This window comes from Homo sapiens, chromosome 10 (assembly GCF_000001405.40).
Source record: "Homo sapiens chromosome 10, GRCh38.p14 Primary Assembly".
Taxonomy (NCBI): domain Eukaryota; kingdom Metazoa; phylum Chordata; class Mammalia; order Primates; family Hominidae; genus Homo; species Homo sapiens.
Window position 1 is genome coordinate 24,995,383 of NC_000010.11, and position 25,497 is coordinate 25,020,879.

General features: G+C 38.5%; 2 protein-coding genes across 8 annotated transcripts in view, besides 6 other annotated features; one reads left to right on the top strand and one right to left on the bottom strand.

Moving 5' to 3' along the window:
- The window catches only part of THNSL1 (threonine synthase like 1), a 74,301-nt gene that overhangs the window by 43,019 nt on the left and 5,785 nt on the right, over positions 1-25,497 (top strand). Inside the window, exon 1 of one of the 4 annotated variants that reach the window (XM_005252597.4) lies at positions 21,230-21,407. The exons of 2 other annotated variants lie outside the window; for them this stretch is intronic. The gene's annotated coding sequence lies outside the window, so the exon portion shown is untranslated. Of the gene's footprint in view, positions 1-21,229; positions 21,408-25,497 lie in introns of those variants that run through there. One more of the 4 variants, NM_024838.5, reaches the window with a different exon arrangement.
- ENKUR (enkurin, TRPC channel interacting protein) overlaps positions 1-25,497 on the bottom strand; it is an 80,343-nt gene that overhangs the window by 13,398 nt on the left and 41,448 nt on the right. For 2 of the 4 annotated variants that reach the window (NR_072992.2, NM_145010.4), the window contains exons 1-3: positions 20,478-20,776; positions 4,019-4,164; positions 264-487 (exon numbers count right to left, since the gene is read on the bottom strand). Coding sequence is in view for 2 of the 4 variants with exons in the window: in NM_145010.4 (NP_659447.1) it covers positions 264-487; positions 4,019-4,164; positions 20,478-20,554 (447 nt within the window). In the remaining 2 variants the exon portion in view is untranslated. Of the gene's footprint in view, positions 1-263; positions 488-4,018; positions 4,165-20,477; positions 20,777-25,497 lie in introns of those variants that run through there. The other 2 variants (NR_072993.2, NM_001270383.2) reach the window with 2 other exon arrangements.
- Positions 20,782-20,831: a silencer, noted in NCBI's record as "silent region_2230". NCBI's record gives its function as "represses an Ori minimal core promoter by ATAC-STARR-seq in GM12878 lymphoblastoid cells {active_cell/tissue: GM12878}" and the evidence as "EXISTENCE:reporter gene assay evidence [ECO:0000049][PMID:35858748]".
- Positions 20,905-21,667: an enhancer, noted in NCBI's record as "NANOG-H3K27ac-H3K4me1 hESC enhancer chr10:25305216-25305978 (GRCh37/hg19 assembly coordinates)". NCBI's record gives its function as "activates a minimal SCP1, AML or CMV promoter by ChIP-STARR-seq in naive H9 embryonic stem cells {active_cell/tissue: H9 hESC(naive)}" and the evidence as "EXISTENCE:reporter gene assay evidence [ECO:0000049][PMID:30033119]".
- Positions 20,978-21,272: an enhancer, noted in NCBI's record as "tiled region #97; K562 Activating DNase unmatched - State 1:Tss, and HepG2 Activating DNase unmatched - State 1:Tss". NCBI's record gives its function as "activates a minimal TATA promoter and a strong SV40 promoter by Sharpr-MPRA in K562 cells, with weaker activation in HepG2 cells {active_cell/tissue: HepG2 | K562}" and the evidence as "EXISTENCE:reporter gene assay evidence [ECO:0000049][PMID:27701403]".
- Positions 21,162-21,361: a silencer, noted in NCBI's record as "silent region_2231". NCBI's record gives its function as "represses an Ori minimal core promoter by ATAC-STARR-seq in GM12878 lymphoblastoid cells {active_cell/tissue: GM12878}" and the evidence as "EXISTENCE:reporter gene assay evidence [ECO:0000049][PMID:35858748]".
- Positions 21,542-21,621: a silencer, noted in NCBI's record as "silent region_2232". NCBI's record gives its function as "represses an Ori minimal core promoter by ATAC-STARR-seq in GM12878 lymphoblastoid cells {active_cell/tissue: GM12878}" and the evidence as "EXISTENCE:reporter gene assay evidence [ECO:0000049][PMID:35858748]".
- Positions 21,872-21,951: an enhancer, noted in NCBI's record as "active region_3161". NCBI's record gives its function as "activates an Ori minimal core promoter by ATAC-STARR-seq in GM12878 lymphoblastoid cells {active_cell/tissue: GM12878}" and the evidence as "EXISTENCE:reporter gene assay evidence [ECO:0000049][PMID:35858748]".

Genomic DNA, 25,497 nt, shown 5'->3' on the forward strand with positions numbered 1-25,497 from the left:
AAATTGTTAAATATGTTAATAATCAAAATTAAGGAAAACAATAACTTTTATCTACTGAACTATATGGAATTGTTTACTATGGGTTCTTTGTAACTTCATCCCATTACATTTGGACCAAACACAGATTGCAGAAGAATGAGAATCAGCAAAGTAGACAATGTGTCCAATGAGAGCACTAATAATGATAACATAGATGATCATCATGAACACCATATTTAAATTATTTGAATTTCAGCCCTCTTATTAATATACCACAAGGCTACCTTTTTATTGATGTACTTTGGAACTAGTCCTGAAGGCTCAAGATCATGCTTGTCTCCAGTTCTTTTATCAACATAAATTGGTTTAGGCTTTTTAGCCACTCCCATGATGATATCAGCTGCATTTGTATTTATAAAATTTTTTCCACTCTGTATTCCCATGACAGGATGATCAGTCTTCAATGGCACAGCAGGCTTTTTGGGCACGTTCCGATCAAAGTTTTTTTCTGTTAAATATAACATTTCTTTGTTAATATTAAACTACAAACACTGCTACTCAGTGCTATTTATAATATCCAGATATTTCACCACTTGTATATTGAAGTTGCAGTCATAATATATTTAAATATTTAAGATAGAAGTTTATGCTTACCCCCAAACTCATTGACTTGTAGACATTAAATATGCACAGCTTTTTACCTGTCAATCAGGCCTCAATAAAATAATTTTTTAAAAAGAAAAAAAGTCAGTAATTAAAATGGAAATAAATTAAGGGCAACATAATCAATTAATATGTTGAGGAGGCCGGGCACGGTGGCCCACGGTGACGTGGGCAGATCGCTTGAGCTCAGGAGTCTGAGACCAGTCTCGGCAACACAGTGAAACCCCATCTCTGCAAAAAATGCAAAGTTAGCCAAGCATGATAGTGTGCACCCTTAGTCCCAGCTACTCAGGAGGCTGAGGTGGGAGGATTGCTTCAGCCTGGGAGGCGGAGGTTGCAGTGAACCGAGATCATGCCATTGTACTCCAGCCTGGGTGACGGAGTGAGACTCTGTCTCAAAAAAGATCATATATGTGTGTGTGTGTGTGTGTGTATATATATATATATGAACAGTATATAAATACAAGGAAGAAGTATTTCTTGCTTATTGGCCGTTTTTACACAGCCTCTTCAGTTTGATCATTCCCATTGATCTATTTTAATATAGCCAAATGGTTTGCCACAATGCAAAAATGTGAAATAATTTATTTTTAAGAACTGAAAGCAACAACTGTCTTGAAAATGCCTTTTCCAATTTTAACCCCATCACAATTACTAAGGACTGACTTTATTCATTTCTGCATCATTTGACCTTTTTTATTAGTTTATATAACTTTTATTATCAGCAAAGCCAATACTTACAGTTAAAAGTCTATGAACTGGATTAGCCTCTTGTTAGGGGCTGAGTTATGTCCTCCTAGAATTCATATGTTGAAGCCCTAACCCCCAGTATCTCAGAATATAACTGTATTTGTAGAAAGGTCTTTAAAGAGGTAATTAAGTCAAGATGAGGTCATTAGAGAAGGCGCTGATCCAATATGACTGGTGTCCTTAGAAGAGGAAATTTGAACACAGACATACATATAAGGAAGAACACGTAAAGATACAGAGAAAAGATAACCATCTACAAGCCAATGAGAGATGCTTTAGAAGAAACCAACCCTGCTGCGTGTGGTGTTGCATGCCTGCAGTCCCAGCTACTTGGGAGGCTGAGGCAGGAGGATTGCTTGAAGCCAGGAGTGTGAGGCTGCAGTGTGCTTTCATCATGCCTGTGAATAGCCACCACACACTCCAGCCTGTGCAACATAGACCCTATCTCCAAAAATAAAAACAAACAAAAATACTCCTAAAAAAGAAAAGCAAAAATCAACTAATCCTCTGACATCTTGATGTTGGACTCCTAGTTCTCCAGAACTGTCCTCCAGAACTCTCATTGGACCGAGTTTTTAAAGCTTTTGCAAAACCCTGCATTCCTTTTTTTTTTTTTTTTCCTCTTTTTTTGAGACAGGGTCTCCCTCTGCCACCCAGGCTGGAGTGCAGTGATGCAATCATAGCTCACTGCAGCCTCAACTTCCTGGGCTCAGGTGATCCTCCCACCTGAGCCTCCCATATAGCTGGGACCACAGATGTGCATCAGCACACCTAGCTAATTAAAAAAAATTTTTTATAGAGATAGGGTCTCACTTTGTTGCTCAGGCTGGTCTCGTACTCCTGGGCTAAAGCAGTCCTCCTGTCTTGGCCTCCCAAAGTGCTGGGATTGCAGTCATGAGCCACTGTGCCCAGCCCTAATACCCTGAATTGATGAATTATTCTAAAGGCCAATGAAATTTTGGGTTTGCTTTTGCCTTACAATGTTTACAAAATGATAGGCTTCTTCCTTTTTTCTTATTTGACACAAAGGATTTATATATATATATATATATGTTTGTGTTATATCATATGTTTAACCCTAGAGAGGCTATATGAGGACCCAAGGGATACCAGTGGTCCTAAGGCATTGAAAGCATCAAATTCCATTTTAACATTTTCCTATATTCTCAAATGGTATTGTTGGTCATAGAATGCTGGGTCACAACAGGCCAAGACTAGAGGAAGATACAAAAGAGACTTCTGAAGTCACGAATTAAGCATGAATGTTGTATTTCCACACTTGCTTCTTCCATCTTGCCATCTTGCCTGATAGTGCCCTCACCTTTTTTCATGAGATATGGGTTGAGAGAGGATTTGGGGACATTAAATACTGCCATAAAGAGAAGTAGTTTCACTTTTGTTAAAATGTACATCGCTAGCCGGGCTTGAGATGTTGCATTATTTCCTCAATGCCAGCAGACATAAAAAGCCAACATTTTGAAGAGACAGACTCGTTTCTTTTTTCTTTTCTTTTCTTTTCTTCTCTTCTCTTCTCCTCTCCCCTCCCCTCCCCTCCCTTCCCTCTCTCCCTCCCTTCCTTCCTTCCTCTCTCTCTCTCTCTCTCTCTCTTTCTTTTTTTGAGATGGGGTCTCACTTTGTTGTCCAGGCTAGAAGGCTGTGGCTTGATCATAGCTCACTGCAGTTTCGAACTCTTGGGCTCAAGCGATCCTTCCACATCAGCCTCCAGAGTAGTGAAGACTACAGGTGCATGCCATCACACCTAGCTAATTTTTTTTATTTTAATTTTTTTGTACGGACGGGGTCTTGCTTTGTTGCCCAGGTGCTCTCTTTTCTTTATTGCCCTAAGACATCTGGGAAGACATACTTGGGCTATGAAGAAATTGCTTCCATACATACCTGTCACACATCACTTTTCATCTACTCTCCCTTTCCCTGATAGCTTTCTTTCCTGAAATCATTCAAAAGACTCCATAACTGGGATCAAGTATATAATTTTTGAGGCCCAGTAAAAAATAAAAACACAAGGCTACTTGATCAAAAATTAAAAATTTTAGTACAGCAAGAGCACAGCATTAAAATAAGCATGGGGCCCTAAGCTGGTTCTACCACTTATTCATGAAGTCTCCTCCATTACATCTAACTCATTGCAGTCCAGTTAGTCTTAAAGGTCTGGGAGAGTAAAAGCCCGTACTCAAAATGAGCCCAGTAGTTGCTTCAACAACTGGTAGTAATGGTTGTAATTTTCATCTCTTGGAGAAAAGGCCAGACAGGGTTTAGATGCTGGGCAATCTTGCCCATTAGTCAGATACTGTCCCTGGGGTCTTGACTTTTCCTATAATTGTTGTTTATAATTGAAGCCCCACAGCTAGGGACTAAGATGGTGATGCATGTGGGCTTCATTGGATAGTCCAAACCCAATCTAAAGTCTATTCTGGGGGCAATTTATCACACTCCATTCTATTTTTCTACCCAATTCTCTACTTCCACTTTCTCCTAGTCAAATTCTGTTTAATATGAGGTAAAGCTGCTATCACCTGTGCATGTTTAATATTCATCAACAATAAAATAATAGTTAAATCACCTGCTAATGCTTTTAATATTAAAAATAAAGCATGATAAAACCTACTGGGTGGTAGAGTTTTTTCCTTTGAATGTTTCTTTAGGAAATCCTTTGGAGAAGGTACTTCAACTTTTGCTGGTCCCATAGTTTTCATTGCAGTTTTAGCTTTTTGCATGTCATCTTTTACAGTTGCCTTAAAAATGGATATGTACCTAAAATTGAATTTTAAAAGTTGTAGCATTTATACTTCTAGTAAAAATTACCTAAAGTTTACTTAAAGTTTAAATCTTACATTTTTAATTTATTTAAGTCTATATTCGTATGGAAAAGCATAATCATAAAACATACTTACCTGAGCCCTGTCCATCAGACTTAGATAAACTAGATGGAAGCTCTGCCCTAAGAAAGAGGTGCTAGGGCAAAAGTGTTCATAGTATTTCCTTATTATCCTTTGAACATCTGTAGCATCGATAGTGATGTCACCCCTCTCATTCTTGATGTTAGTAATTTGTGTTCTCTGTCTTTCTCTGCTGATCAGTCTGGCTAGGGGTCTATTAATTTTATGAATCTTCTTATAGAACCAGAATTTCATTGATTTTCTCCAATGTTCATGTTTTCCATTTCAATGATATCTGTGCTTATCTTTATTATTTCTTCTTACTTTGGTTTTAATTTGTTTTTCTTTTTTTACTTTCTTAAGATACAAGTTTAGGTTTTTTATTTTGAACTTTAATACTTTTGATGTCTTCTTTGATTTAGAAGTTTGTTTAGACATGCTTAGTTTTCATAGATTTGGGATTTTCCAGATATCTAATTGATTTCAGATATATTTCTATTGTGGTTAGAGAATATACTTTGTATGATTTCAATTCCTTTGAATTTTCTGACATTTGTTTTATGGCACAAAGTATGTTCTATTTTAGTAAATGTTCTGTATACACTTGAAAAGAAAGTATGTTGTGCCGCTGTTGGCTGGAGTGTTCTATAAATGACAACTAGGTCAAACTGAAAGTATCTTCAAATGTTCTGTATCCTTCCTGATTTTGTCTATTCTACTAATTATTGAAAGAGAGATGTTAAGGTCTCTGACTGTAATTGTGGATTTGGCTATTTCTTCTTTCAATTAAAATAGTTTTTGCTTTATGTATTTTGAAACTCTGTTTGTAGGTGCATAGCATTTAGGATTGTTATATCTTCTTGAAAAACAGATCACTTCATCACTATAAAATAACACTCTATTCCTTTTAAAATTCTGTGCTCTAGAATCTACTCTGTCTGACATTATGGTAGCTAATCAAGCATCCCTTTGATTTGTAATAGTATATGTTTTTCCATTCTTGGACTTTCTACTTGTTGGAGTTTTCCTATAGACTGCATAGAAATTTTATCCAGCCACCAATCACTTTTGTTTGGTATGTTTATACCTTTCACTTTTAATGTGATTATAAAAATTTGTTTCTGCTTAAAGTTTCCAGCTTGCTGTTTTTTTACATATCCCCTTGCTCATTCTATCTTGCTTTTCATTTTGTTTTGTTTGGTTTGGTTTTATGGAAACTGTAGCTTTACAGTATACAGGTTTAACTTATCAGAGCCTACTTTCAAGCAATATTATAGCATTTAACATGTGGTATGAGAACCTTTCAAAAGAATACTTGCATCCAACCCCACTCTTGTCTTAGTGTTGTAATATATTTTACTTTTCTGTGTGGTATAAAATCCATAAATAATTGTGATTATGTTCCCTTTATATAATTGTATTTTAAATACATTTGAAAAAATCTTGAATATTTACCCATATATTTGCCATTTCCAGTGTTCTTCATTCTGCTGTATAAGTCCAAATTTCTAACTGGTACCATTCCTTCTCCATAAAGGACATTTTTAAACTTCTGGCTTCCATCGTTTCTAAAGATAAATTTACTGTCCTTTTTTCTTCTTCTTCTATATAATTTTTCTTTTTTTTCCTCTGGCTGTTTTAAACTTTTTTTCTCTTTATTAATAGTTTTAATAAATTTGATGGTAATGTCTCTTGGTATTCTTTTTTCTACTTGGGGTTAACTGTGATTCTTGGATTTTTGGATTTTGAGATTTCATCAAATTTGACAATTTTTTTACCTTTATTCAAATATTTCTTCTGTTTCCTCATCCGTTTTCTCCTCTTCCATGATTCTTTGACTGCTTGATATTGTTCAAGCCTCATTGATTCTCTGCTTTCTTTTTCAGTCTATTTTTTCTCTGTATTTCATTTTGCATTGTTCTATTACTGTGTCTTCAAATTCATCTAAATTTTCTTTTTCAGTGTCTTAGCTGCGTTAATCCAATCTATTACATGTAGCTACATTTTGTATATGGTATTCTTTATGGTTAGAAGTTAGATTTGGATCTCTCCTTCCATTTCTTTCCCCATCTTGGTTCATGCTTTCTTCTACCTTTTGAATACATGATGAATATTTAAAATAACTGTTTTAAGGTCTTGTCTACTGATTCTCTAATCTGTGTCATTTCTGTGTCTGTCTTTACTATGTTTTCTCTTGGTTATGCATTATATTTTCCTGCTTCTTTGCATGCCTGGTAATTTTTGATTGGATGCCAAACATTGTGAATTTTACATTGTTTGTTGCTGAATTTTTCTCTTCTTTTTCTCTTTCTGGTGTTCTTTAAATTTCTTCCTTAGCTTTTTTCTGGGATTCAGTTATGATAGTTGGAAACAGTGTGATCATTTTAAGGCTTGCTTTAAGTGTTAGGGTAATTCCACAAGTGCTTTTAGTCTATTTCTAATTTGGCCCCACTACTGAGGCAATATACTTCTGAGTGCACTACTCAATGCCCTGTGTATTAGGAGGTGTCTCCACCTGGGCTGGTGGGAACACGAACTTTACCTGGCACTACTGCTTTCTGTTGGTTATTTACTTGGCCTTGGTTGTTTCATTACATACATGTGCTATCAACCAAAGACTTTAGGGAACTCCTTGTTCATATTTCCACAGTCCTCTCTCTATGCAACTCTCCTCTCTGGTACTCTGTGCTGTGAATTCTAGCAGCTTTGGCCTTTGCAAACTCTGAATTCTGTCTCCTTAACTCAGGGAGACTCCTAGGCTTTGTTTTAATTTTTTCTTCTGGATCTTGGCCTGGAATTTCTCTCCAGAGAGTATGCTGGGGCAGTCGTAGGGCTTGCCTCATTTGTTTCTCTTCTTTTATAGATGACCACTCTATGTTGTTTATTGTTCAGAGTCTGATAACTGTTGTTTCATATATTTTTTTTCTGGTGTTCTAGTTGTTTAAGTCAAGAAGATAAATCCCATTTTTGGTTGAAAGCAGTTCAGCTATACCGCTTTTGTAACAACTTGTATTATCTTCTTCCTTATGTAGATAAATTTGTTTGAAGAAACATTATTGTTTTTTTCCTTTTAGGAGCCTTGCCTCAATCCTGAACTTAAAGGCTGGGAATCAATTATAGTCCAAACTGAATGAGCTCATTAGATAGTTTCAAGAAATAATGTTCAAACCAAATCTGTGCCTTAAAATGCCCACAGAAGTTGGGGCTGGCAGATATGGTCTCGTGATTAATAAGATAATTTCATTTGGGGTAAAAAAAAAAGGTGTCTTTACTTCCACCTCTTTTAAATTTGTAAACCCATGATTCAATATATTTTTGTGTAGGTATATGAACTGAAAGCCTGTCCATCTATTATAGAAAATAAGATACTCTATTTTATATAAATGATATTTTCCAAATTACAAAAATAACATTAAGTAAATTAAAATCTATGTCTCCTCCATCTCTCCAATAAATTTTCCAGAATAAATTCAATTTCAGTGTTTCTTTAATTAATTAATTAATTAATTAATTTATTTATTTATTCATTTATTTTTTGCCCGCTCTGTTGCCCAGGCTGGAGTGCAGTGGTGTTGCCCAGGCTGGAGTGCAGTGGTGTGATCTTAGCTCACTGTAACCTCTGTCTCCTGGGTTCAAATGATTCTCATGCCTCTGCCTCCTGAGTAGCTGGGACTACAGGCATGCACCGCCATGCCTGGCTAATTTTTGTATTTTTAGTAGAGACAGGGTTTTACCACGTTGGCCAGGCTGGTCTGGAAATCCTGGCCTCAAGTGATCCACCTGCCTTGGCCTTCCAAAGTGCTGGGATAACAGATGTGAGCCACTGCGCCAAGCCTGTGTTTCTATTTCTGTAAGAATTGCAACTAGATTTTTAAAACTTAATATAGTGTGATATCTTAATACACATAAATCTTATTCTTTCTGTTAAATAGCTGCATTTTACTCCATTTTCTGAATGGTGTGGTTTTATTACAAAGATCTAGTGGTGACTTTATTAGATAATTGGCTCTATTTTCTTTTAAGTTCAGGGATACATGTGCAGATTTGTTATATAGGTAAACATGCATTACGGGGGTTTGTTGTACAGATTATTTCATCACCCAGGTATTAAACCTAGTACTCATTACTTGTTTTTCCTGATCCTCTCCCTCCTTCCACCCCCAGCCTCCGATAGGCCCCAGGGTGTGTTGTTCCCCTCCATGTGTTCATGTGTTATCACCATTTAGCTCTCACTTTAAGTGAGAATTTAGCAGTATTTTGGTTTCATGTTCCTGTGTTAGTTTGCTAAGGATAATGGCCTCCAGCCAGTATTACTGCAGCACTATTGTGTGGGACTCTGAACTCTGGAGACTAGGCTGTGTTAGAAAGTTATCCAAATTATTTATTGGATAATTTTTACATGTACACATCCATGTCCCTGCAAAGAATACGATCTCATTCTTGTTTTATGGCTGAATAGTATCCCATGGTGTATATGTATCACCTTTTCTTTATCCAGTCTATCACTGATGGGCATTTAGGTTGATTCCATGTCTTTGCTACTGTGAATAGTGCTGCAATGAACCTAGGCATGCATGTGTCTTTATAATAGAACAATTTCTATTCCTTTGGGTATATATCCAGTTATGGGATTGCTGGGTTGAATGGTATTCCCATCTTTAGGTCTTTGAGGAATTGCCACACTGTCTTCCACAATGGTTGAACTAATTTACACTCCCATCAGCAGTGAGTAAGTGTTCCTTTTTCTCCACAACCTCACCAGTATCTTTTGAATAATGGCCATTCTGATTGGTGTGAGATGGTATCTCATTGTAGTTTTGATTTGCATTTCTCTAATGATCAGTGATGTTAAGCTTTTCTTCATATGCTTGTTGGTCACATGTATGTCTTCTTTTGAGAAGTGTCTGTTCATTTCCTTTGCCAACTTTTTAATAGCATTATTTGTTTTGTTCTTGTAAATTTGTTTAAGTTTCTTATAGATGCTGGATATTAGACCTTTGTCAGATGCATAGTTTGCAAAAATTTTCTCCCATTCTGTAGGTTGTTTACTCTGTTGATGGTTTCTTTTCCTGTGCAGAAGCTCTTTACTTTAATTAGATCCCATATGTCAATTTTTGCTTTTGTTGCCACTGCTTTTGGCATCTTCATCATTAAATCTTTGCCCGTGCCTATGTCCTGAATGGTATTGCCTAGGTTGTCTTCCAGGATTTTTATAGTTTTGGGTTTTACGTTTAAGTCTTTAATCCATCTTGAGTTAATTTTTGTATATGGTGAGAGGAATGGGTCCAGTTTCATTCTTCTGCATATGGCTAGCCAGTTCTCCCAGCACCATTTATTGAATATGAAGTCCTTCCCATTGCTTGTGTTTGTCGGGTTTGTCAAGGATCAGATACTTGTAAGTGGGCAGTCTTATTTCTGGGTTCTCTATTCTGTTCTATTGATCTCTGTGTCTGTTCTTGTACCAGTACCATGCTGTTTTGGTTACTGCAGCCCTGTAGTATAGTTTGAAGTCAGGCAGTGTCATGGATAATTGGCTCTATTTTCTATTTATTATTAGAATTATGAGATATGGGCTAAAGATAAGTTATTCTCAAACTAAAATTGTCATCTTCAGAAAACATACCAAAACTATATTTTACCATACAGTTAAGATTAGACTTACTAATCACCATATAGTAAGTCCCATCATTAAGACAGTAAATTTACATTTTAAAAACCATTTATTTCAAAGGGCACACAAGGAAATGATATTACTCAAAAAGCTGGGATAGTTTGAAAGTGCTTAATTGAGATTTTTTTTTCCTCTAATGGGCAAAATAGGCATCAAGGATTAACAACTTTTCTTTTTCAATTTTTCCCAGTATTACTGCAGCATTACACTATCGTGTGGAACTCTGAACTCTGGAGCCTAGGCTGTGTTAGAAAGCTATCCAAATTATTTCTTGAGGAGAATTTTTACACGTACACAGATATCCCTTAAGTCCACCTACAGACTTGAAATGAGAGTGTTCAATTCAGGCTCATGTCTATATCAAGTAACTAAATTTTCAAAAATGGATGCCAATTCTTCCCCCAGCCTGGTTGTCTGTCATAGCTCTGATCTGCACTTACTTGACAACACAGGCATATGTCATTGAGTATAATGATGATCTTAGTGCTGCTCAGTACCTCTCACAAGCTGTTGAGTGAAATAATATGTGGAATATCAAAAGAGTATGTAGTTAATGTATTCATCTACATCTGTGCTGTGTAATATAGCCACATGTGGATATTGAGCACTTGAAATGTGGCTGGTGCCACATGCGGAAATCATAGTATTTTAGATAAATTGCATTAAATAAACTACATAAAGTAAATTTTTCGTTATTTCTACTTTTTAAAAGTGATTAGAAAAATTTAAATTACATACATGACTCTCATTACATTTCTATTAGACTGTGCTGATCTAGATAGCAGGAAAATCTATCCTTGAATTAAACTATGCAGTCAGATAGCTGCACACCCAGAGCACAACACATTGCTGTCTCCAAAACTGCTTTTGTTTAGTTATGTTATCGTACTGGAACACTGGTCTATAATGAGGGCAACAGTAGACTTATGAAACTCAGCAGATTTAATGTAGAAGTGCGGCTGAAATCTTTATTGTATTACACACATGGTCTCCTCTCTCCGTGAATCCTGGAGGAAGTGTATTTGTGGCAGCACACCGAGAACATTTGTGCTCCTCTGTGACTACTGCTTTGCTTTTGTCTTTGGACAATATGACTTAGAGTGTAATTGATTTTTAAAGAAGCATGGGAAGGATCTTTCTTCCTTGATGGGCTGGCTGCTTAACTAATAGAGTCAAATTTGTTTCAGACTTTAAGCAAACGTGCATGATTGTGAAGCATACATTTCATGTAGGTCCTCATTTGTAGCTCTACCTTACTTTTCTATCATAATTTCCCATTTGCTTTGATAGCCTCATCAAAAAAAACCTCACTGCATTAGAACAAGGTTGTGTATAAACACGAAATAGTATCTGATATATAATAAATTATCAAAAACTAAACAATTATAGATGTTACTGAAGCAAAAAGGACTCAGTTTGTTTTACTGTCTCAGGCTAAAAGAACTGTGCAAACCAATTAAACTTACGAGCTTTGGTATTAGATTTGTGTCTCGATCTCAGCCCTTGTTTTTCCTCATTGCCTCAACTTCTGGGCCTGAGATTTTTCTTCTGTAACAATGGGATAATACTACTTATCCCATAGGATTCTTGTGAAAAAGATCAATAACTGGCACGTTTTAAATTCTAATACATTGAACATATTGCTATTAATAGTATTCTTGTGGTTATGAATATTGGATATCCATCCTGATAAAACGTTTAAAAATTGAAACTGTTTAACCCTTTACTTGATTTTACCTGTGTCCTGGCAGACACAGTCTTATTCTGTAAAAATTTGAGTCATCATGTCTAGACAGTGATTATAACAGACTGACATATTTCCCTGATCTGTAAAAATGAATTCTCATATACAATATATTGTTAGTATTGCTTAAGATATTAAACCTTGTTCTGTAACCGAATAATCTAAAAAATGAGTCTAACGTTCACAAAAGCTCACTTATACATTTCCCTGGCAACTGATTTTAAGGAGTATTGTTGTCATATTTTCTTCTCTCAACATTTTTATGTATATATGAAATGCCAGAGAGGTGTGCTAATGCCTTTTACCACGTTATATTATGTATAGGTTTCTTATTTATTTATTTATTTGTTTGTTTGTTTATTTATTGAGATGGAGTCTCGCACTTTCACCCAGGCTGGAGTGCAGAGGCGCCATCTCGGCTCACTGCAAGCTCCGCCTCCCGGGTTCACACCATTCTCCTGCCTCAGCCTCCAGAGTAGCTGGGACTACAGGCGCCCGCCACCACACCCGGGTAATTTTTTGTATTTTTAGTAGAGACGGGGTTTCACCATGTTAGCCAGGATGTTCTCGATCTCCTGACCTCATGACCCGCCTGCCTCGGCCTCCCAAAGTGCTGGGATTACAGGCTTGAGCGACTGCGCCCAGCCACGTATAGATTTCTGAATTATAGGCAGTAACTCAAAATAAACATTAAGCCAGTAAATGCATATGGAAGCCACAATGTTCCTTGCTGAAAAAAATCCTGTATCTGGTTGTCTCTCCCCTCACCCATATGCCTGAAGGGAAAGGTGCCTTTTGAATTATCCTGTCAACCACATAGTTTTCCAGGCCTTCAATTGTAATTCTACTAATTATAACACATCTTCATTTGTGTGCCTGTGATATATTATATATATGTATATATAATATATAATATGAATAAATATAAATATATGAGATATATAAGCATGAGAAGGGCAGTTGGACAAAATGTAAGAGATGAAGAGAAGTAGTCTTGTGGGTCTGTAGAGACTGCCTAGCCAGATGAAAAATACATTCTAACACTTAAATTCTAACACTAAACACTTAAAACACTAAAATAGCTTCTAACACTACTCATAATACTAAGAGACCATATATTGCAGCAATGGGAATTTTAGCATAAAATGTCATCATGACAAACAAAAAGAGACTTTGGAATAGTCTAGACTTTCTTTGAATATAAGTTAATTAAAAAGGGTTACTGTTTTCCTTGATTAAATTCTTGGCTGTAATTAGTTAGCAAAGTGGGTAAGACAAGAAACTCTGGATCAGGAGAAAATGACCATGTCACCTAAGAGTTCCTAATAGTCAAGGAACAGATTTCTCAGCAAAGTCAGATACATAACCATACTTTAAACAAAGAGATGTTATAAAGACTTCAGAACATGTAAGTGTTAACAGTATTGACACTGAATAAAGCAGAAAGTAGTCCAAGAAGGATGGGAAGCTCCAAAAATGAAACACTGATTATGTGTTACAATTAATCACAATGAAAAACAGAACCACATTAAACAAAAACTAATGCTGTTCACTGCATTAAATACACTGTTGGTGGGACTGTCAACTAGTTCAACCGTTGTGGAAGTGTGGCGATTCCTCAGGGATCTAGAACTAGAAATACCATTTGACCCAGCCATCCCATTACTGGGTATATACCCAAAGGACCATAAATCATGCTGCTATAAAGACACATGCACACGTATGTTTATTGTGGCACTATTCACAATAGCAAAGACTTGGAACCAACCCAAATGTCCAACAACGATAGACTGGATTAAGAAAATGTGGCACATATATACCATGGAATACTATGCAGCCATAAAAAATGATGAGTTCATGTCCTTTGTAGGGACATGGATGAAGCTAGAAACCATCATTCTCAGCAAACTATCACAAGGACAAAAAACCAAACACCGCATGTTCTCACTCATAGGTGGGAATTGAACAGTGAGAACACATGGACACAGGAAGGGGAACATCACACACCGGGGACTGTTGTGGGGTGGGAGGAGAGGGGAGGGATAGCATTAGGAGATATACCTAACGTAAATGATGAGTTAATGGGTGCAACACACCAACATGGCACATGTATACATATGTAACAAACCTGCACATTGTGCATATGTACCCTAAACCTTAGAGTATAATAAAAAAAAAAGTATGCATGCAGAAATTCTACACTGGTGAGCCTGAGGACAATTTCTGTAAGAGTTGTAGAGAGAATTTTTATTACATTCATAGAGAAGCAATGATTGCATAAGGCCATTTGGAGTTTCAGTCACCACAAATGAAAATCAATTAAAAAATAAGATTATGTGATTAATAGATTAGGGAAATATTTTAGACATAATAATTTGCATGTTGATGTTAGCAGAGAATCTTGTTAAATCCTTGTTGATAAGGTAGAGAAATATGAGTTAATAGGTTTACTTTGGTGACTGAACACTCAAAAGTATTGCTATCAGCCTAGAGAGAGGTGTCTAGTAGCCTAGCAAAGTACTTGCCATGTGATATGGTTTTGCTGTGTCCCCATCCAAATCTCATCTTGAATTGTAGCTCCCATAATTCCTATATATTGTGGGAGGGACCCAGTGGGAGGTAAGTGAATCATGGGGGTAGGTCTTTCCCATGCTGTTCTTGGGATAGTGAATAAGTCACATAAGATCTGATGGTTTTATAAAGAGGCGTTCCCCTGCACACACTCTCGTTTCCCACTATGTAAGATGTGACTTTGTTCCTCCTTCACCTTCTCCCATGATTGTGAGGCCTCCCCAGCCATGTGGAACTGCGAGTCAAACCTCTTTCCTTTATAAATTACCTACTCTTGGGTATGTACTTATCAGTAGTATGAGAACAGACTAATAGAGTAAATTGGTACCAGTAGAGTGGGATGCTGCTATAAAGATACCCAAAAATGTGAAAGCGACTTTGGAACTGGGTAACAGGCAGAGGTTGGAACAGTTTGGAGGGCTCAGAAGGGGACAGAAAGATGTGGGAAAGTTTGGAGCTTCCTAGAGACTTGTTGAATGGGTTTGACCAGAATGTTGATAGCAATAAAGACAATAAAGTCCAGGTTGAGGTGGTTTCAGACGGAGATGAGGAACTTGTTGAGAACTGGAATAAAGGTGACTCTTGCTATGTTTTAGCAAAGAGACTGGTGGCATTTTGCCCCTGCCCTAAAGATTTGTGGAACTTCGAATTTGAGAGAGATGATTCCGGGCATCTGATGGAAGAAATTTCTAAGCGGCAAAACATTCAAGAGGTGACTTGAGTAGTGTTAAAAGCATTCAGTTTTATGTATTCACAAAGATATGGTTTGGAATTGGAACTCATTTTTTTTATTATTATTATTATACTTTAAGTTTTAGGGTACATGTGCACAATGTGCAGGTTAGTTACATATGTATACATGTGCCATGCTGGTGTGCTGCACCCATTAACTCGTCATTTAGCATTAGGTATATCTCCTAATGCTATCCCTCCCCCCTACCCCCACCCCACAACAGTCCCCAGAGTGTGATGTTCCCCTTCCTGTGTCCATGTGTTCTCATTGTTCAATTCCCATCTATGAGTGAGAACATGCGGTGTTTGGTTTTTTGTCCTTGTGATAGTTTACTGAGAATGACGATTTCCAATTTCATCCATGTCCCTACAAAGGACATGAACTCATCATTTTTTATGGCTGCATAGTATTCCATGGTGTATATGTGCCACATTTTCTTAGTCCAGTCTATCATTGTTGGACATTTGGGTTGGTTCCAAGTCTTTGCTATTGTGAATAGTGCCACAATAAACATACGTGTGCATGTGTCTTTATAGCAGCATGATTTATGGTCCTTTGGGTATATACCCAGTAATGGGATGGCTGGGTCAAATGGTATTTCTAGTTCTAGATCCCTGAGGAATCGCCACACTGACTTCCACAATGGTTGAACTAGTTTACAGTCCCACCAACAGTGTAAAAGTGTTCCTATTTCTCCACATCCTCTCCAGCACCTGTTGTTTCCTGACTTTTTAATGATTGCCATTCTAACTGGTGTGAGATGGTATCTCACTGTGGTTTTGATTTGCATTTCTCTGATGGCCAGTGATGATGACCATTTTTTCATCTGTCTTTTGGCTGCATAAATGTCTTCTTTTGAGAAGTGTCTGTTCATGTCCTTTGCCCACTTTTTGATGGGGTTGTTTGTTTTTTTCTTGTACATTTGTTTGAGTTCATTGTAGATTCTGGATATTAGCCCTTTGTCAGATGAGTAGGTTGCAAAAATTTTCTCCCATTCTGTAGGTTGCCTATTCACTCTGATGGTAGTTTCTTTTGCTGTGCAGAAGCTCTAGTTTAATTAGATACAAACCTGAGAAAAACAAGCAATAGGGAAAGGATTCCCTATTTAATAAATGGTGCTGGGAAAACTGGCTAGCCATATGTAGAAAGCTGAAAGTGGAACCCTTCCTTACACCTTATACAAAAATTAATTCAAGATGGATTAAAGACTTAAACGTTAGACCTGCAACCATAAAGACCCTAGAAGAAAACCTAGGCATTACCATTCAGGATATAGGCATGGGCAAGGTTTTCATGTCTAAAACACCAAAAGCAATGGCAACAAAAGCCAAAATTGACAAATGGCAACTTATGTTTAAAAGGAAGCAGAGCATAAAAGTTCAGAAAATTTGCAGCCCGATGATGCAATAGAAAAGAAAAACCAATTTTCTGAGGAGAAATTCAAGCCAGCTGCAGAAATTTGCATAAGGAGAAGCCAAATGTTAATAGCCAAAACAATGGGGAAAATGTCTCCAGAGCCTGTCAGAGGTCTCCACAGCAGCCCCTCCCATCACAGGCCCAGAGACCTAGGAGAAAAAATGGTTTCATGGGCTGGGCCCAGGGCCTTGCTGCTTTGTGCAATCTTGGGACTTGGTGCCCTGAGTCACAGCCATGGCTAAAAGGGGACAACGTAGAGCTCAGGCCATTGCTTCAGAGGGTGCGAGCCCCAAGCCTTGGTGGCTTCCACATGGTGTTGGGACTACGGGTGCACAGAAGTCAAGAATTGAGGTTTGGGAACCTCCACCTAGATTTCAAAGGTTGTATCAAAATGTCTGGATGTCTAGGCAAAGATGTGCTTCGGGGCAGAGCCCTCATGGAGAACCTCTGCTAGGGCAGTGTGGAAGGGAAATATGGGGTGGGAGCCCCCCACACAGAATTCCCACTGGGGCACTGCCTAGTGGAGCTGTGAGAAGAGGGCCACTGTTCTCCAGACCTCAGAATGGTAAATCCACTGAGAGCATGCACCATGCACCCAGAAAAGCTGCAGACACTCAATGCCCACCCATGAAAGCAGCCGGAATGGGGGCTGTACTGTGCCAGGTCACAGGGACAGAGCTGCCCAAGACCATAGGATCCCACCTCTTGCATCAGCGTGACCTGGATGTGAGACATGGAGTCAAAGGAGATCATTTTGGAACTTTAAGGTTTAATGACTGCCCTATTAGAATCTGGACTTGCAAGGGGCCTATAGCCCCTTTGTTTTGGCCAATTTCTGCTATTTCGAATGGTTATATTTACCCAATGCCTGGACCCCCATTGTATCTGGGAAGTACCTAACTTGCTTTTGATTTTATATGCTTGTAGGCAGAAGGGACTTGCCTGGTCTCAAATGAGACTTTGAACTGTGGACTTCTGAGTTAATGCTGAAATGAGTTAAGACTTTGGGGGACTGTTGGGAAGGTATGATTGGTTTTGAAATGTGAGGACATGAGATCTGGGAGGGGCTGGGGTAGAATGATATGGTTTGGCTGCATCCCCACGCAAATCTCACATTAAATTGATGAGATCCCATAATTCCCATATGTCATGGGAGGGATCTGGTGATAGGTAATTGAATCATGGGAGTGGGTCTTTCCTGTGCTGCTCTCATGATAGTGAATAAGTCTCATGAGATCTGATGGTTTTATAAAGGGGAGTTCCCCTGCACACACTCTCTTTCCTGCCACCATGTAAGATGTGACTTTGCTCCGCCTTTGCCTTCTGCCATGATTGTAAGGCTTCCTCAGCCATGTGAAACTGTGAGTCAATTAAACTTCTTTTGAAATATAAATTACCCAGTCTCGAGTATGTCTTTATTAGCAGCGTGAGAACAGACTAATATACTATGTTCTATGATAGATAAGAGATATAAAAGACATATTTATTAAATTTGCAAATGACACAAAAAGAATGGTTAACAGAATGTATAAAAGATTCAAATGCAAAACTATCTCCATAGATTAATGAGTTGAGATAAAAAAGAATCAGCTACATAATTAGAGGATGGGAGAGACCAACCTTAGTCAAAATCCATACAGGGTATTTTAGTGTGAGCCAATAGTTGGACATGACTGTCAAAATGCTTATGGAAGCTTAGGCTGAATGGATGAAAATATTGTGCCAAGAATTATGGAAAGGAGATAATGGTTTCATGGACTGTTCAGACCATAACTGGAATATTGCTTTAAACAAAATGGAAAGAGGGGATGACTGGAGATATTCAATAACTGCAGACATCAATAAAGGGTGATAGGCCAGGCGTGGTGGCTCACGCCTATAATCATAGCACTTTGGGAGGCAGAGGTGGGTGGATTACTGGAGGTCAGGAGGTCAAGACCAGCCTGGCCACCATGGTGAAACCCCATCCCTACTAAAAATACAAAATTAGCCAGGCATGGTAGCAGGGACCTGTAATCCCAGCTACTCGGGAGGCTGAGGCAGGAGAATCGCTTGAACCCAGGAGGCAGAAGCTGCAGTGAGCCAAGATGGCGCCATTGCACTCCAGCCTGGGCAAAAAGAGTGAAACTCCGTCTTGAAAAAAAAGTAATTAAAAAAAAAAGGGTGACAGATTTGGTGAAAATCTTGGAAACCATCTTATGCATCATGAGTAACTCAAATTTTGAAAACTGAATCATGACTTCCCATTGACTCTGAGGCTTTCATAACTTAAGTCTCAGCCAATAGTTCAACTGCAGAAAAGTGCCTTTCATCCGATTTTGGTCACATACATTCATCTTCTAAGTTCTCATTTAGTATCTTCATCTCTCATTATGGTTTTCAATGATAAATTTTAGTGTTCATATTTCAGTTCCCCAAAAAGACGGTAAACTCTGAGGCGTGGGAGATCAAAAGCCAGGCAGTTGTCAGAATCTTGCCAGTGTAAATTGACTTTAACCTAACAGAAATGATTCTTTTGGCATCACATTTGGGTGCCTCTATTTCCTCTAATCATAAATCTTTCTTCTACTCATTTCTTCATAGTAAAACCAAGAAGTCTGTGCTATCACTCCAACAGCACCAAGAACAGATATACTAGTGCAATATTATACACATAATAGGGGCTCCATTAATGCTTGCCAAATGAATAAAGACTGTTCCTATAAATTTTTTTTGAAAAAAAAAATCGTCTAGATGCAGTAAAGCTTTTTAATTTGCCAAAGAACAGAATACCTACCTAATAAAATAACTCTCAAATTCAATATTCTATAGAAATACAATCTACCAATCTGTTATAGAGGAGTTTTATCTCATGTAATATGCAGGAATTTGAAACCAAAAGTTGGTGCAACAATAGAAAATTTGAAAATAAATTCTGCAACTGTGCCATAACTTACTTTACATTCCTCTTTCCAGTCTCTAGATGTTGATATGCTAATGGAGATGTAATACAGTTACTGCTCTAATTTAAACCAGATACTTAAAATTGAAGAAGCTGCCTACTTGTTGAAGCTATTACCCTAATACTAGTAAAAATAATTGACCATTAGATCTAAAAGGGGCCTTGGATATTATCTGGTACATTTATCTCACAGATCAGTAAACAAATGAAACTTTATTCTAAAGTTCACAAAGACAATTAATTGCTAGGCCCGATTTTTAGTCCAGTCCTTTTCAAATGTGGTTTTGACTTGCATACGGACAAGGATGATGGTAAAAGACAGGAAACATTTCAAGTCCTAGGAGAAATGAGATTTTCTCCACTACTTTCTTTGCTCCCCACAGATTTAAGTAAGTTCTAAGAAGTCCCTACAGATGGGAGTAACTGAAGTGCTTCCTTTGCACGTTTTTGAGATTTGGAGAATTTAAGAGGTTCTAAGACCTATGTAAAATTTCAACTCAATTACATATTTTTTGGTTCATTATCTATCCACCAATTCTTCCTTCCATTTAAACCATTAGATCTGAAAAAGTCCTTAGAAACTGCCTAATAGTGGTAGATATTTCGTTTCACTGATCAAAAACCTGAGGCTCAAAAGCAAATGTAAATTTATATTTCATAAAAATCTTGGGGGAAAAGTCCTATCCTATCCCATTAGAGAGGGAGTAGTGCAGTTAGAAATACAACACCGAACTCCTGAAACCAAACATCAAGTATCCTTAAACAAGATAATAGAATTGTGATTTTTTTCTTTTCAACATGAAACTTCATACTATGCTGTATATCACATATAATTAAATTACACAATAATCACATACCGTATTAATAAGAGGTTAAGTGTAATATAATAAAATGGTCATCTCACAGCGCCAGACTGCCCTCTCTGTAAAACTGTGAGATGCTGAATACCTAGATATTTCGACCTTTTCTCTAACAAGTTATCCTCCAAGGCTACTTCATCGAGGCAAAAATACATTTTATTTATTATTAAAAATTCCAGTATATGTATGCTTAATTAATACTGAGTATTCCCCATTCTTGTTTCAAGTGATAGTCTTTGCTTATCCACATACCTAGGAGGCTGGGGAGGCTCCTTCAAGTCACTGGGTATGAGGTTATAAATGCACTCAGAAGAGCACGTTGGATCCATGGCCACCAAATGACTCCTTAAAAGCTACTCTCCACAACTTTTTTCTCCCTGTCCCAGTATCTCCGTCCCTTTCTTCACTGCTTCCCCTTTCTTTCTTCTTCGCCTTCTGAAGGACCACAGGTTCTCTCCTTCACATCGTCCCCCTTTAACCCCCTCTTAGCAGTCCTCTCTCGGGAAGAAAACACCCTATTTCTCTCCGGATTGCTAAGCGTCGTTGACTGTGCGGTTGCCGTGGAAACCGTTACTAGGCAACGAGGAAGTGGCAGGCAGCACCGCAAACTAGGTCTCCCCTCTTCCCTCTTTCTGCAGCGCCTTCTGCTAGAGAAGCTCATTTGGAAGCCACTGTTTTTACGTGCCTTTGAAAGTTAACGGGGTGAAAATGATGTCCCCTTAAAAACTGTGCTCTTTTCTATTTCTGTGTATCTGGGGAAAAAAGAAAAATCCTAGTAGAGACGGCAAAGCGCAGCTGGTGCGCAGGCGTCACCCAATAAGGTTTTTGTGAGCAGGCCCCAATCGCGGTGTGGGCGGAGCGAGCGGCTGAGACCACGAGGACGCAAGGCCAGCGCCGCCAGGGAGACGAGGGAGGGGAGGAGCCTGAGGAGATCGGAGTGCTCGGATAGGCTACAGTGAGAAAGGAGAGTCACGTGCCCTGCGCGAGGCCGCTCGGGGAAGGGCGTGGAGCGGAGGCACGCTGGCCGCCGCAGGCACAGGCGCAGAGTCCACTGCGCGGGGGCGGGACCGGGGAGCTAGCTGCAGGTACGGTGCTCCGTCTCCTGTGGAGGCTTTAGCGGCTCGTGGACACTGCTCCCCCATTTCCTTTCATTTCCCCCGTCTTCTCAGTGAGATTTCCTTGGTGAGTTATTGGAGGAGAAAGGAAGGAAAACTAGAAGCCAGCCCGCTCCCATCGCATGCCTTTCCCCGTACCGTCCCTTCCCCTTTCCGCTACTCGCTGGTCATCTCAACTCTGCGCGCATTTTTCCTGCTGCTTCTGGTCGAGGCTCCTCGGAACGCCGCGCAGCCCTGCCCGCCACGTGTGTGAGTGCGCGCACGGGGCCCGCGGCCTCCTCCGCCTGCTGCGCTCGCCCTCCCGCCCCTGCTCCCGGGACCGCCCCTTGGGCGGTCCTCCGGGTCGGCTCTGCGCCTGCTCTTCCCCGGGTCGGGACTCTTCCTCTAGGTCGTTCTCCAGGAACCAGTGGACCTGCTCTTTGTAAATGAGCAGCCTAAACTAAGAGGAGAAGCCTTTTAAGTGGGCCTTTACGTTTTTGTCCAGTTTTTGGTGTCCCTTGTTGGAAAATTGTCTTCTGAGAAGCGGTTTTATTCCTTTTTGTTCCACCTGGTCACCCGTAAATCTATGCACATGGGCCTGCCGTAGGAAAGTCATTTAGACGCTTTTACCCGAGTGTTTAAAAGACATTTTGGTAATAGGATTTGGGGAGGAAGATGGATGCCTCTGAACCACCGGTACAGAGGCCACTCTGCCCGAAGGAAATAAAGCTTCCCGGAGAGGAGAGAAAACACACTTGAGTCTGGGTTTCTCACTGCCTGGTTGGCTGGCGGAGTGATTAAAACAACACAATGGCCTGGTGAACCTTTTAGTTCCTGTATAAAAAGGCTTTACTGAATGTGTAGGTCCTTACTTTGGGCTCTTACTGAATTTCACTACATAAGAATACGTTAAGTTTTTCTTTTTTTTTTTTTTGTATACAGTTGATTTTAATTTTTGTCCCAGACGCTTAGGGAAAATTCTCCAGATTTCTTCACATCAGATTGTCTTCCAAAACATTTTAGATAGATGGATCTGTAGATCTATATTTAGATCTAGATCCAAATCTATATCACTTTGCCCCTTTCTTTTCGCCCTTGAGTATTTTATGTTTGGGATTTCTGTTTAGCAAGTATAGAGAAAAAATTTGGCGGGAAACCTCCTGTATGTACGAAGATTCGAACCAAGGACTCATGGAATGATAACGCCATTAGCCAAGTGGATAGTCACTGGCTAAAGCTTATGAATTTTCTAATTAGAAGGAACACCTTGAGACTATTTGTGTTAATCAGTTCCTGAAATAGCAAGTAAGGGCAAAACATGATTTCTGCAGTTAGCACCAACTGGCCTTTGGTAGCCTTGATGTTCTGGGGTTACTGAAATAAAATAATTTCACTGATGTCTGTATATTTATTATGCTTTAAAAAATGCTAAACAATTTGTGCAAGACCTCACTGTGGTATAGTTAGTTTACAGCCATGAGCAGGTTGTTAAATCATTTGGAAAAAAACTTTTCTTTTTTCTTAGACATTTGATCTGCAATTCTCCTTGCCTTTTGAAAGTGTGTTTAAGCAAAATTATTTCTAGTTTTTATAATGCTCTTGAAATGACACTTCAAAAAAATGCCTGTGTCCACCGCATGTCCACAGGGAATTAACTGGTATATACCTACAGGGATGAACAAACTGTCTATAAAGGGGTAGACAGTAAATATTTCAGGCCTTTTTAGGCCAAGTGGTTATGTTGCAACTACTCAGTTTTGCCATTGTAGCTCAAAAGCAGCCAAAGACGGTACTGAACAAATATGTGAGCACATGAATGACTGAAGTTGTGCTTCAAAGAAACTTGATTTATGAAAATGATGGTGGGCCAGATTTAGCCTGTGGATTGTAGTTTGCACAGATCCTAGATCCCCGTATATAATGGTATGCCTGTGATGTACATAAACAAATGAGAGTTGTTTTTTTTTTTTTTTTTTTTGCGAAGGATTATTTTAATCTATTTAAATGAATAAAATGGGTGTAGATGAGTATATAAGACAATTGGAAGGTAAATAAACCCTTTATAAAGACAGGTTCTTTATAATTCTCAAAGTTATAGAATTGTGGATACTAAAGTTTTCAATTAAATATTCGAGATCGTTAAGAATATGTCTAACAGCAGAAGTCTAACGGCAGAAAAAGCTTAGTCAGCTTTGATAGTAATATAAAGACTAAGTGATGAACTTGCAAAATTGTTTTAGTTGTGAGATCCTTGTGATTACAGAACTATACTGGATTGTGTGGTCCTTCCACCCTCACCTCTGTTTCATGGCAAGTGGGAGGCCCTCTGAATGAAAAGTTTGAGAGAATTTTTGGTCAGAAGTCAGAAGCAGTAGAGCTTAACCTCCTTTTGGCTAGTTTGTGTCCTGATACACAGTTAGTTCTCCATATCTGTGAATTTCCCATTCTCAGATTCAACTAATTACAGATTGAAAATATTTTAAAATTTTAGTTGGGCACAGTGGCTCATACCTGCAATCCAAGCACTTTTTGAAGGCCAAGGCAGGAAGACTGCTTGAGCCCAGGAGTTGGAGACCAGCCTGGGCAACATGGCGAAACCCCCTCTCTACTAAAAATACTAAAATTAGCTGGGTGTGGTGGTGCGTGCCTTTAGTCCCAGCTACTTGGGAGGCTGAGGTGGGAGGATTGCTTGAGCCTAGGAAGTCAAGGCTGTAGTGAGCCAAGATTGTGCCACTGCACTCCTGCCTGGGCAACAGAGTGGGAGCCTGTCTGAAAAACAAACAAAAACACGAAAATAATGGAACAGTAAAAATACCACAAACAAAAAAGCAAATTAGTACAACAGCTCTGTACCTAGCATTTGCATTGTATTATGTATTATAAGTTATTCAGAGATTAAGGTATACAGGAGGATGTGCACAGGTTATATGCAAATACTACACCATTTTATATAAAGGACTTGCACATCTGCAGATTTTTCTCACTCTAAAGTCAGTCCTATTAACTGCTAATTATCCAATATCCCTCTCAATGCTTAATCCAAATAATTGTTAAACACATGAAAGAGAAGAGTGTCAAGACCAAAAGCCTTGGAGTGCACTACCAGAAATTTCCCTCTATTCAACAGAACCATTTTTATGATCATTCAACAATATCCTCAAATCTTTTTTTTCCATTTCTCCGTGAATTAAAAAAATTTTAAATGAACCATGTGTAATGCTTTGGTGAAGTCCATATATATGCCTTCTATGTATATTCCCGAGTGGCCATTGCAGCAGACGTTCTCAAAAAAGAAATGAGGATGTCTTTTCCTCATTTGGTTGGTTAAAAAATGTTGAGCCCCTAAAATCAATTTGTGGTTAAATGTTACAAAATAAAATTTAGTATGTAGCTTAAAATAGAATATATCTTTATTGTTCTTTAGAAATAATATATATTATAGCACTTAACTGCCTTCTGCTAGTCTAAGGAACATGTTTGTGGGAAATAATATTGATACAGAATTTACAAATTGAACTGTCATAATTTTCTTTAAAATATATCTATATCTATATCTATATCTATATCTATATCTATATATATCTACCCCAAAGTCTTGAAAAAGGGAAGTGAAGTAAAATTTAAAAACAAGAGGGTAGAGGGGAACTAACATATAGGAAAAGTAAGATTGCAAAACATAAGGTGAAGGTAACATAATGTTTCCTTACAATCTACTTTTAATGAAGTTGATGTTAAGCATGGTAGCAAGCAATATAAAGCGGAAGAAAAGATGAAAGATTTACTGGGCCAGTATGGTGGTTCATGCCTCTAATCCCAGCACTTTGGGAGGCCAAAGTGGGAGGATTGCTTGAGTTCAGGAGTTCGAGATCAGTCTGGGCAACATGGTGAAACCCTGTCTCTAGAAAACCTACAAAAATTAGCTGGGTGTGGTGATGCACACCTGGTGGGAGGATCACCTGAGCCCAGGAGGTTGAGGCTGCAGTGAGCTGAGATCATGCCACTGCACTCCAGCCTGGGTGACAGTGGAAGACCCTTTCTCAAAAAAAAAAAAAAAATTACTGCTCATGAAAACCATCTACTCAGATTATATACAATTATTACTAATACAGGTATCAGAAAGTTATGTATTGCAAACTCAAAAAGAAGAAACTGTAATGTTACAAGCAAAAGCTTCCTGA